We start from the raw sequence: 12,924 nt of genomic DNA, 5'->3' as shown, positions 1-12,924 counted from the left end.
AGAATGGATCAATCCATTCAGGCGATGTGGGACTCAATTACTTTCAAGGCTGGGTAGTTTCTAGGAATTCCTCAAGAATTAAACCCATACTTATTACGATCCCCCACAAAAGGTATCATTCTAGAAATAATTTAGCTCTTCAACGATGAAAATATACCACTAAATAGCAGTCCATGGCCTTGACTGACTTCTGGAGCATTAAAATGAGGGTCATGAGCAAAGGGTAGTTACTTGAAAAAATCCTTTGATACACTATCACATTAAAATATCAGTGGAAATAATGCGGTTAAACTGGCTATCGATTCACCATGACTAGCTTGGCTATGATCCTGTCAATCTTCATCTCCAGCCATGGTTGAGTGACCACAGGTCCAAATCTGATGCCGAGCTGACCAATCAGGTTCTCTCCTACTGAAATTTGAGCGCAGGAGTGAGGTTTTTGGAGATGGAAAAGAACTGAGGCTAAATCTGGGCAAGGCTCTATGTAGAGTTTTCCTGACCTTGGCTGAGAGGTCTTTTGGAGTAGCCTCATGTCTGGCCCTTCCTGCTGCCAGAGAGATCAGCTCTTCCTTTGCAACCAGAAAGAATGTTCTGAGTCACAGGGGATGGACCAGGCCATTTATTGAGTGCCTACTCTATGCCAGCAATGTATCTATATTATCTGTCAATCCTGACAACAGCTTTGGGTGGGTATTATCATTCCTCTTTATAGAAGAGAGAACTAAAGTTCAGAGATGACACCTGGTAAGTGATGAAATTTAATCTCTGGTTTCTAATCCTATGATTTTTCTACTCACACTGAGACCATGTACAAAACTGGAAGATTACAATAATGAAAACAAAGAAAGAGATACATGCAGAGAGGGAGAAAAGCTAGAAGGAAATAAATCAAAATGTTAGTATTGGTATATTAGGGTGCTGGGACTGAGAATTGTTTCCTTCTTTTCTGAATTTTCCTAATTTTATTTAATATACACTGAAAGCAAAATAAGAACACAGTCAACTCCTGGGACTAGTTCGGGAGTTGGGGGCTTCCCTGAGTGTCTATCGGGGTACCTGTGCCTCTTCAACTGCACTTGCGGCTTTTTCCTTCTCTCCTGGAAGTGATATTTTCCATGACTCACCTCACTCTGGAGACAAAGTGACTTCCTCCTTCCTTCAGAAGACACTGTGATTTAATCACAAATAATTGCCACTCAGAAAGATCGGCATTTTACATCCCTCGGATTTGCTGTCTCTCAAATCAAACAGCTCGGTGAGTCATTAAGCGAGTCAGTATAATAGAGGTTTTACCCACTTAAAAGCCCACCTCTCTCCCACATGCCTCCTGAAGTTATTTTTCCTTGTATTGATTGATCATGATGAAAATACTTCTCTTACCCTCTCATTATGCCATAGAATGTGTTGATAAAGACTCAGGGAGCTCAATTCCTCTCCTGGTTAGAATGAAGGAACTAGTATTTACCAAGTATGTACTTAACGCCCTTGAGTTAGTGCCTTAAATATACTATTTCATTCATTCATTCATGACAAAGATGGGAGAGTGGTGTGAGCATTGCCATTTTTCCTGTAGGGAGACCAAAGCTGAGGGATAGAATAAAAGGCATGGCGCAGGCGATGTGGTGCAGTGGCTGCATTCTCAGCCCAGGTGTCTGGTAGTCAAGGTCCTGACATCTGCTCCACTCCTGACTGTAACTTCTCGTAGCCTCTGGACCTTCACCTGTAAAACAAGGAAGAGTAACAACAGTACCACCATCATGGCAGCATGATGAGGGTTAACATGATCTTTACTTAATGTCATTATCAAAATGACTTTTTTTTTTTTGAGACAGAGTCTCGCTCTGTCATCCAGGCTGGAGTGCAGTGGCATGATCTTGGCTCACTGAATCCTCCGCTTCCCAGGCTCAAGCAAATTTCCTGCCTCAGCCTCCGAGTAGCTGGGATTGCAGGCATGCGTCACCACGCCTGGCTAATTTTTTTTTTTTTTTTTTTTTTTTTTTTTTTTAGTAGAGACGGGATTTTGCCATGTTGGCCAGGCTGGTCTCGAACTCCTGACCTCAAGTGATCTGCCCGCCTCGGCCTCCCAAAGTGCTGGGATTACAGGCGTGAGTCACTGTGCCTGGCCAACACAATGATATTTAAAATGTTCTTTTCGTAGGCCTTGTACCTTTCCTGATAGATACATTCCCAGAGGTTTTAGATTTCTTTTTGGCATTGTGAATTGGATCTTTTTTGCCATTACATTTTTAATTGGGTATTTCTTGTCATTCTTTTAAATGTTAACTGTTTACAGGGGAATGTCAGCTTTATGAGGGGAGAAACTTTATTATGTTCATTGCCATGTTCTGGATTCTTTGAAAGAATATATATAAATATGCCTGGCACATAGTAGGTGTTCATGAAATATTTGTGGGATGGATGGATCTGGCTAACTTACTGTCTCAGTCCATTCAGGGTGCTATAGCAAGATACGATAAAATGAGAGGCTTATAAATAACAGAAACTTACTTCTCATAGTTGTGGAGGCTGGGAAGTCCAAGATCAAGATGCGAGCAGATTCAGTATCTGGTGAGGGTCCACTTCCTGGTCTAGAGAGCATGTCTTCTTGCTGTATCCTAAAGTGGTTGACAGGGCTAGCTAACTCTCTAGGATGTTATAAGGGCATGAGTCCCATCCATGAAGGCCCTGCACTCACCTCCCAAAGACCCCACCTCCTAATACCATCACTTTGTGGGTTTTGATTTCAACATATGAATCTTGGGGATACACAGACATTTCAACTACAGAACTTACTGAATTCCCTTACTGATGCTTGTAGTTTTTTCAGTTGATTCTCTTGAATTTTTAGCTGATAGCAAATCATCTGTAACTTGCAATGGTCTTTTCTTTTCTGGTATTTATACTTTTTCTGTGAAACAGTCTTGGTCTGGGCAGACATCTTTGTAATAGCCCTGTATTAAACAGGAATGCTTCTAATGTTTCAGGACTAAGGATGATGTTCTGAGGGGTTTCTGGTAGCTGCTTTTCATCAGGTTATAAAATTTTCACTTTATTCCAAGTTCCCTGAGGTTTGTTTTTATCTTATTTTTTAATTAGGAATGAGTGTTGGATTTCATTACGTATATATCTGGCATCTGTTGAGATGGTCATGACTTTTTGCCTTGAGTTTCTTGATGCTGTTTTATTAGCTACTGAAAGTGACAAGCATACAGACTAGATACGTAGAAATGTGCATATGAAATTGTTTTAAATGCACACTACATAGTACATGCATGGATGGCAATTGTGTAATTGTGTTACCATCACTCTAGGAGAAGTCATTTCCTCATCTGCCTGCCTTTCTTGCCACACCTTTCCAGTGTCCTTCCCTTAAGGGGAAGAGGTGGCTGATCTGCTCAGTTATTGCAAGATATTTATCAGGGCAGAGTCTCTGTGCATTGGGCCTTTCTTGGCCCTGTTCCCTCTCAGTGGCCTCCTGTTTTGCTCCACATCTCAGAGGTAGTGAGCAAAGCTGATGATCCTTTGGTCACTGGCATCTCCCTCTTCCACTTTTCTCTTCCATGAGGCTGTGAGAGCAGGCGGGGCTAGAAATGGCCCCTTGGGACAGAGCATCCATCTTCTGTCTTCTTTCTTCATGTGGCTTGGTAAAGGGGATGGTAAAGGCCAAATGTCAGACATTCCACTCCAGCCCAGCTTCTTTAGAGGGCCCTGTTTGGCAAGTAGAAACCGGCATGCTGTGGTCCATTTGATTACCGTTCTTTGTGTCTGTCTCTCTCGAGGATTCTGCGAAGAACAGTAATGGCCGAAAGGGCAGGATATGGGCACTCCCAGGCTCCTGACTATAGTACCAGGGATTTGAAGAGGTTTTCAAGAAGGTATCGTAGAGAGAGCTTAATAGTACCCTCCAAAAAGATACATGCGGGTCCTAACCCCTGGGCATCTGTAAATGTTACCTTACTCAGCTATAGAATCTTTGCAGATGTAATTTGTTAAGGATGTTGAGATGAAATCATCCTAGATGGCAAGCCCTAAATTCAATAACTGGTGCCATTATAAGAAGAGGACGGGATGCACAGAGATGCACAGACAGGGAGGATGCCATGTGAAGGCAGAGGCAGAGACTGGAGTGAGGGACGCTGGGGAGCCACCAGAAACTGTGAGGAAGAGAGGAAGGATTCTTCCTCAGAGACTTCAGAGGGATATCAGCAACCTCATTTCCAACTTCTGGCCTGGCCTCCAGGGCTCTGAGAGAATGCCTTTCTGTGGTTTAAACCAGGGTTCCCCATCCCCTGGGCCACAGACTGGTACAGTCCGTAGTTTGTTAGGAACCAGGTCACACAGCAGGAGGTGAGCAGCAGCAGGCGAGGAGGCGAAGCTTCATCTGTGTTTACAGCCGCTCCCCATTGCTTGCATTACCACCTGAGCCCCACCTCCTGTCAGATTGGCAGCAGCGTTAGATTCTTATAAAAGTGTGAACCTTATTGTGAAGTGCAGATGTGAGGGATCTAGGTTGCGCACTCCTTATGAGTATCTAATGCCTGATGATCTGTCACCGTCTCCCATCACCCCTGATGGGACTGTATAGTTGCAGGAAGACAAGCTCAGGCATCCCACTGATTTGACATTATGGAGAGCTAGATAATTATTTCATTATATATTACAGTGTAATAATAATAGAAATAAAGTGCACAATGAATGTAATATGCTTGAATCATCCCAAAACCAGCACCCCCACCCTTTTGGTCTGTGGAAAAATTGTCTTCCACAAAACCAGTCCCAGGTGCTAAAAAGGTTGGAGACTGCTGGTTTAAATCAAGCAGTTTTTGGTTCTTTGTTATGGCAGCCCTAAGAAACTAACCCAGTTTATGAGGCATAAAGAAGTACATTAAGTTTAATGTTTAGCTTGGAGAGCATTTCTTGCTGCTATAACATAAATGACCACATTTAAAAACTTAAATGTGGTGTGTGGTGGCTTATACCTGTAATCCCAGAAATTCAAGAGGCTGAGGCAGGAAGATCCCTTGAGGCCAGGAGTTTGAGACCAGCCTGGGCAAGAAAGTGAAACTCTGTCTCTAGAAAAAAAAAATTCTGGCACAGTGGTGTATGCCTCTAATCCTGGCTACTTGGGAGACTGAGGCAGGAGGATGGCTTGAGCCCAGGAGTTTGAAGCTGTAGTGAGCTATGCTTGTACCACTGTACTCCAGCCTGGGTGACAAGGCAAGACTCTGTCTCAAAAAAAAAAAAAAAATCAAAATACTGTTATTATTTCACAGTAGGAAAATTTTTTCACGTCTAGCTACAGGGAACTGGTTAAATACCTTCTGCAACATCACCTATTGAAATGCACTCTACAGCTATTGCAAATTATAATTATAAAAACTATCAAACAATATTTAAAAATATTTATGTTACAATGATACATGATTAGTAAATAATACAAGTTTCTTTTTGGGATATGTACAATTATGTCTGCATATGAACAAAGACTGGAAGAAAATGCAGAAAAATGGAGATGACTCATGTAATAGAACAGTGGAATTGTGTCTAATTTTTAAATTTTTCTATGATTGTTTAAAGATGTTTTCATAATTTTAATGAAAATTCTGTGACTCTCTTCTTAGGAGTAAAAAACAGTTATAGAACAATTGTGTAATAAAATATGTCCAGGATCCTGCCAAGAGTTTTATGTCACTAATCAATACATTAGCAGGGAAAAAATGATTTTGTAAGGCAAAATTTTATTCAAAGATCAAATGCCCAGGCTGGTTTTATTTTAAAAAGCACACCAAGAGACATACTCTACTGCCCCTTCCACCTGGGGCTCCCATGCAGCCCTCCACCCTCACCCCCGACTCACACACCCAGGCCTGCAAACACATCTCTTCCTGGTCTACCCCAGCTTTGGAAATCTGCATCATCATAGAGCCATTTTGTCAGAGGAAAGCACTGTGTCTCTGTGGTTTATTAAATCAGGGTGGGTGCCATATCTCCAGAGTATTCATTCTCCTTTTCTCATGTGGATTCACTTGGTTAACAAAGCCCTCCTAGGTGGGAACAGGGTGCACAGCAGGAATGTAATATGGTCCTTCCCCTCTTGGGTCTTACAGCCTAGAAGGCTTGCTGAATAACAGGTTGTCTCTTGGGAAAGCCGGGACCATGCTCCAAAGGGATGCTGCAGTGGGAGCCAGGGGAGATTTATCTGGACCCCTGGGGCAACTTACTCAGCTTCTAATGTTTAAGGGTACAAAGACGAGTTGGGGGGTGTTGGAGGAAAAGTCTACTCGACAATTTTACCCCAAAGTTCTGAAACCCAAGGTTAGTTCAAGTATGCAGACATACTGTCACATCTAAAACTGAAAGATGATTTGTTCTCTTAAAAACCTCAGACTTAATCTTTTATACATACATATGTAAATATATAAAATGTATTTATATTCACTCCTCCACACTCTTCAACTATTTCAAATTTGAAAGGTTTTACTGCACTTTAAAATGCTTTCTCAGGCTTCTATGATGTCTCTGTAATGCAAGGATAGAAAAATTGGGGATGAGCATTTTTTTTACATGTGTAAAAAAATTAGTTTAAGGATTTTAGGTGTTTCTGAATCAATCTCATTTAAAACTTTACCGAGCACTTCTTATGTGCAAAAAATGAATCTTGGGGATGTGTGAAAGTTGGGTAGGGGGAATGAATGAATAGGATATAGGTTCTAATCCTCACAAATTTAGAATAGAATTTTAAAAAAAGGCAGATATGAGGCCTTAGGTGGGACTGAGCATGATATCATGAGGCCATGGAGAAGGCCTGGTTCCTGGGGCTAATCCTAACAGAGGGCATCAGGAAAAGTTCATTCAGGATGCCCACTTTAGCTGATGGAAAAGGTACAGAAAGCCATCCTGGAAAGAGGAAATGGCATGAACAGAGATATAAGGGTCTCAAAGTGCTTGGTTGGAGCCCACAGGGGCAAGCAGTGTTTTTCCCATCTCTGTGCCCAGTACCTTATATCACAGCTGGCATAGAGAAAGAGTTCACCATGACAAAGATCATGTATTATGGAGATCAAGAGCCAGTGGGGGCTTGGTGCCAGACTGCCACCTCTAATCCTTTGCTGCAGTTAGTATAGAGTCGGGGGTCTCAAGATCCATTGTCTATAGGACCAAAAAGGTAATGAAAGTGAATGAAACCAACCTAGCATCAGACATTAGAGAATGGTGGGGGCTGGAGCCAACCAGAGTGCTACCATTTTAAAATGTGGGCTCAGTGCTTCTGGGTCCCCCAATTTTTCAAAAGAAGGTAAAAATTGTATCTGAAATACTCAGATATTTGAAATGTCCAGGGACCAGAGAACATGCCCAAGATTTAGGTCATGGCCCAACAGTTTATGACCCAAGAGGAGAGTGTATGGTTGGAGTTGGAGAGGAATCGTCCTAGAATGGTCACTTTGGGACCATGTTCAGAGGAGTGGGAAATGTCTCCCTATGGAGTCTGGAATCTCCAGCTGGCGATTGGGAGCCTCTCAGAGTTTTCCAGCAGAAACAGATTTGTTGCTGAAATACAGGAAATATATGGGGGGAAGAGAGAGACCAGAGGGTGGATGACCTGGAGGCCACTGAAATACCCAGGTGAGAGGTGACAAGGGAGAGCCTCTGGGGAGTGACCATGGCATGGGGTAGACCACACGGGTGGGAGAGAAATTTAGGAGGCAGATAAGGAGGAATCCATGAGCCATGGAGAGAGGGAGGAAGAGGCAGTGAGTTTGACTTTAGCCTTGGACCCAGGTAACAGAGTGAACGGCCATACCACTTACAGGAGGAGAGAGTGGGTAGCCCATAACCTTTTCTTCACACCGCATCTCCCACGTGTCGTGCTCGCTTCTGCCTCCTTTCCAGACAGTTCACCCAGGAAAAGGGCTGCCTGCCTCCTGACCTCCGTCTTACTTCCTCTGACAGCATCACTATTTTTAAAGCCTCCTTCCCAACCCTTCCAAGACTCCTTTCCTTGCTTTTCCTCCCCTCTCTGCTCCTTTCACTGCCCCATTTCTTTTACAGAGTTGTCATTTTAACAAGCTTCTCTTTTCTGTGTGCCTTCCCTCCCACGGGCAGCCCACCCACCTACCTCCTCCCTCAAATGAGGCTTTTAGAGCTAATTATCTAGGTGTTTTGATCAAGCACAGAAGCCGTGTACTTAAAGAAGTGAGACCAGGTGACTTTGGCCTATTTTTAGTGGCTGCAATTTGTGGGCTGTGGCATCCTTTGTCACAGCAGCACCCTGAGACCAGAGCTCAACTCCAGAGCCATGGTGCCAAGGGATTTGTAAAATCTGCAGTGGGTTAGTTAATAGAGGGGTTAATCTAGTGGTAAAGTCAGATTCTTTGGTACCTTGGAAGCCCATCCTTCCAGCCCTTACTGGTGAGAAAGAAGAAATAGGACAGGAGTGCAAATGGGCTGGGAAGGAGAAAGGGAGAGGAGGAAGGCAAAGTGAAGCTCACCTGCAGGCACAATGTGCTGTGTCTCACTTCTGTGCCCATAGCCGAGCTGCCCCCCCCCCCCCCAGCACACCCAGTGCCCATCCTTTACCCTCCAGATGATCACTTGGGGTCCAAGTGTTACCTTGGCTCTCAGGAGGAGTCAGGACTGGAAGTAAGAGGGAAAGGAATTTCTCTATCCTAACGCAGATTCTCCTCTCAAACCAGCTTCCTGCTCAGATCTCAGGAGCCCAAATTCCTGAAACCAGGTGGCCTGTAGCTACTGGGAAATAGAGGGTTTCCATCACTCCTTAAGGAAAGCTAGAGGTCCGTGTGTGCCATGGAATACGCTTCGGCAACAAGAACAAACTTTTGATCCATGGAATAACACGGACCACTCTCAAACGCCTGTGTGAAGTGAAGGAAGCTGGGCTCAAAAGGTCTCGAACTCTGTGATTCCATTTACATGGCTCTGCAAAATGCAAACCCTCAGGGGAAAGAGTCAGTCAGGGTTGCAAGGGAATGCAGGTGAGAGGTCAATGTCCATGCAGCACAAAGGAAGTTTCTGGTGGTGATGTGAACAGTCTTGACTGCTGATGGCTCCACGGCTATATTCGTTTGTCAACACTCACAGAATTGTGCACATAAAAAGGGCACATTTTATTGTACGACTTTAAAAAATAGAGCAAAGAAAAAAACAGGGAAAAAAGAGAAAAAAGAAGAGCTAAGCGTGGCATTCTAAGTTCCATCCCCTAAGGTGAAATCACCAATATCCACATAAACAGGGCTTTGTAGCTCAGCTGAGGTTGACTAAGCTTTGGGATCCTTCAGGGTCTCCTCTTTCTATCTGTGTGACTCTGGGTACATTACACACCTATTTTAACTTACTCATCTGTAAAATTAGGATGATAATAGCACCTGCCATTGGTAGTTGTCGAGAGAATTAAATGAGATAATACATGAAGAGAGGTTAGCCCAGTGCCGGGAATATTTTAAGTTTTTAATAAATGTTCTGTGGTATTTTTATTATCGGCAAGCAGGCTCAGATCCACAGACTGATTTTATTCTTACATGAACCTTAAGAGGTTGAAATTAGGACTTTCCCCCAGTTATGATTCTTAGAAGAATCTTAATTGAGATTCAGGCAGATGAAGTGACTTGCCTGAGGGCAAACTTCTTAGAAGTGGCAGGTTTGGGTCTTGAACTTTGATTTTGATGCCACGTCTCACAGGTTTTCTGTTCCACTGTGACCTCATGCCCTGGAGAGGAACACAAATGTGGGGGGCAGACAGCATGCAAATGGAGGCAGCCTGTAGTCCTTACCTGGAAACTTCACGGGAAACCTCACCCAGCCTGGACAAGGACGGGATTGACAGATTGACAGCTCTTTCTCGATTCTGTGGGTGGTGGTGCATGGCCATTCTTAGTTGGTGGAGTGATTTGTCTGGTTAATTCTGATAAGGAACCAGACCCTGACATGGTGACTGGTTACACGATCCCTGAGCAGTCGGCATCCCCCAACTTCTTAGAAGGACAAGTGGTGTTCAGTGACCCAAGATTGGGCAATAACAGGTCTGTGACGCTCATAGATATCTGGGGCTGCACGTGCACTACACCAACTGGCTCAGTGTGTGCCTCCCCTACACCAGCAGGCGCTGGTAAACTCTTGAACCCTATTCGTGATGGGGATTGGGGATTGCAATTATTCCCCATGACCGAGGAATTCCTAGTAAGTGCAGGTCATAAGCTTGCATTGATTAAATCCCTGTTTGCCTTGATAAGTCCGGCTCAAACTGGACTTGAGGTCTGACTTTGGTGAGACTCACTCTGACATCCCAGGTAGGAGACTATACCTTCTAGTCTCTTTCCAGAAACAGGGCATCAAAAGTCTTACTTTACTCCTGAAGGTTTGCAGTAAAAATTAAATATTCAGCTATGATAAGTGGCTATAGAGATGCAGAGTGTGAATGGGACCCTACTAGGTATCCTAGGTATAGGGAAATAAGACACATAAGAAATTTGCTTCTGTTTATGACAGGAGTCATTCTGCTAGGCATTCACAAATCTGCTGCCATCTAGCCCAGTCTGAGGCTGAGGGTACACCCAAACTCATTGAAGAGGAAGGGGCTTTCATTCTGCTCAGTCTCTTGCTGGCTGACTCCCCAAGACCTAAGCCCTGCAAGTGTCCCCAGACCCATCTCTCACTATGCCTATCACCTCTCTCCTATGCTCTTCCAGAACAGAAATTTGTCATCTTCATGTTTGAACCTCTGGGGCTTGGTGCAGGCAATGACTGAGCTGAACAGAGAAGGCATTTGCTCTGTTTGAAAAGCAACACCTGCCCCTCCCTCCCTCCTTCCCTTCCTTCCTTCCGTCTTTCTTTCTGTCTCTCTCTTTCTTTTCTCTTTTCCCTTCCCTTCCCTTCCCTTCCCTTCCCTTCCCTTCCCTTCCCTTCCCTTCCCTTCCCTTCCCTCCCCTCCCCCCCCTCCCCTCCCCTCCCCTCCCCTCCCCTTCCCTTCCCTTCCCTTCTCTTTCACGGAGTTTCACTCTTGTTGCCCAGGCTGGAGTGCAATGGCACAATCTCAGCTCACCGCAACCTCCGCCTCCCGAGTTCAAGTGATTCTCCTGCCTCAGCCTCCCATAGTAGCTGGGATTACAGGCATGAACCACCACACCCGGTTAATTTTTTGTATTTTTAGTAGAGATGGGGTTTCTCCATGCTGGTCAGACTGATCTCCAACAGCCGACCTCAGCTGATCCGCCTGCCTCGGCCTCCCAAAGTGCTGGGATTACAGGCATGAGCCACCACACCTGGCAACACCTGCCTTTTCACTGATGATGCTGTGTTTTCCTGACATTTACTCCTGAAAGCTCCTACCCATTCTGCAGGATGCATCTGTTCAGATGCCACCACTGGATGCCTTCCTGTATTGTCTCCTCTGCTTCTATGCATACCCACCCCAACATAGCACTTCCTGTTTTGTGTCAGGTTTCTGTATGGGTCCGTCTTTCTTGGAGGACAGGAAGTGCCTCTGGATCAGGGAGCATGTCTCAATTTTTTGTTTTTTTTTTTTTGAGTCGGAGTCTTGCTCTGTCGCCCAGGCTGGAGTGCCGTGGCGCATCTCGGCTCACTGCAAGCTCCACCTCCAGGGTTCAGGCCATTCTCCTGCCTCAGCCTCTTGAGCAGCTGGGACTACAGGCGCCGGCCACCAGGCCCGGCTAATTTTTTTGTATCTTTAGTAGAGATGGGGTTCCATTGTGTTAGCCAGGAAGATCTCCATCTCCTGACGTCGTGATCCACCTGCTTCGGCTTCCCAAAGTGCTGGGACTAGAGGCGTGAGCCACTGCACCCAGCCTGCCTGTCTCAAATTTATCTCTGTTTTCCTAACACTCAAAGTTGCCTAGCATAGGGGACAGAAGGTCTTGCTGACTGGCTGGCTAAATGAATGAATTAAAATTAATTTTCTTTTCTAGATAATGGTCCTCAGCTTCCTTCCCAACACTGTTTCTTCCTTTTTAGTAAATCTTAGATGGTTTCTACCCATTCTTGTTCCATTTGTTGCTGGCAGTGATCTCATGATTCCAGCTGAGGAAGAAGAGAGTGGGTCTGGAGAAGGTGGTGGCTGCTGGCTATGTCGATGTGTTTTAGACATCATTTTAGAAGCTCCTGAGAGAACACTATCTTCAAAGTAGTGTGCATGGTAGGGCGGAGGTAGAGTACATAAGAGCACCAAAGACCCAACCTGTGGATACCTCTAGCCCCCTTGATGCAAATATTCCTTGAGATTTGTACTGAGAAATCCCACCACGTTCACTCTTTTCACCTTTCAATTCATACTCCATGCTACAGCATGAGAAATTTTTATTTTATTTTATTATTATTATACTTTAAGTTTTAGGGTACATGTGCACAATGTGCAGGTTAGTTACATATGTATACATGTGCCATACTGGTGTGCTGCACCCATTAAACTCATCATTTAGCATTAGGTATAACTCCTAATGCTATCCTTTGATCATTTTGTTAACTTCCCAAGATATCACTAGACAATCTGCTAATCAAGCAAAACTAAATCTATTTGAACTTACCACAGTGATGGAGAACACCACCCTGAGAAAGGTTTTGGAGAAAGAAATCGGTGTCTTAGAAGAGGGATGTCAGAATACATTTATGGAGCCTTGGGGTCTGAGTTTCGCTGGTTTAAGGCAGGCTTTTCAAGGTGGGAACTAATTGGCTGGGCAAAGTTTGTGTTGTGGCAGGTTAGGACTGGTGAACATCACGTGGCAAGGACTTGAAGTCTTAATAAGTCAGCTGTTTTGGGATCAGTAATCTGTTTGCTGAGGTTAGCAGACTGTTGTATCAGGTAGGTTGATCTGAAAGATTTCCTAAAGCAGACAATGGACTTACTTATTGATTTACGGTCTTTTATTTCCCAGGTAACGTTTTCCTAGGACGAAT

General features: G+C 44.3%; 2 annotated features.

Moving 5' to 3' along the window:
- Nucleotides 738–1,937: an enhancer, noted in NCBI's record as "CDK7 strongly-dependent group 2 enhancer chr5:174550039-174551238 (GRCh37/hg19 assembly coordinates)". NCBI's record gives its function as "activates an origin of replication core promoter dependent on BRD2, BRD4, P300/CBP, MED14 and CDK7 cofactors, with strong dependence on CDK7, by STARR-seq in HCT116 cells {active_cell/tissue: HCT116}" and the evidence as "EXISTENCE:reporter gene assay evidence [ECO:0000049][PMID:35650434]".
- Nucleotides 10,033–10,327: a silencer, noted in NCBI's record as "tiled region #3886; K562 Repressive non-DNase unmatched - State 22:ReprW". NCBI's record gives its function as "represses a minimal TATA promoter and a strong SV40 promoter by Sharpr-MPRA in K562 cells {active_cell/tissue: K562}" and the evidence as "EXISTENCE:reporter gene assay evidence [ECO:0000049][PMID:27701403]".

Source organism: Homo sapiens, chromosome 5 (genome assembly GCF_000001405.40).
Source record: "Homo sapiens chromosome 5, GRCh38.p14 Primary Assembly".
NCBI classification, from domain to species: domain Eukaryota; kingdom Metazoa; phylum Chordata; class Mammalia; order Primates; family Hominidae; genus Homo; species Homo sapiens.
This window is presented reverse-complemented; position numbering and strand designations above follow the sequence as displayed.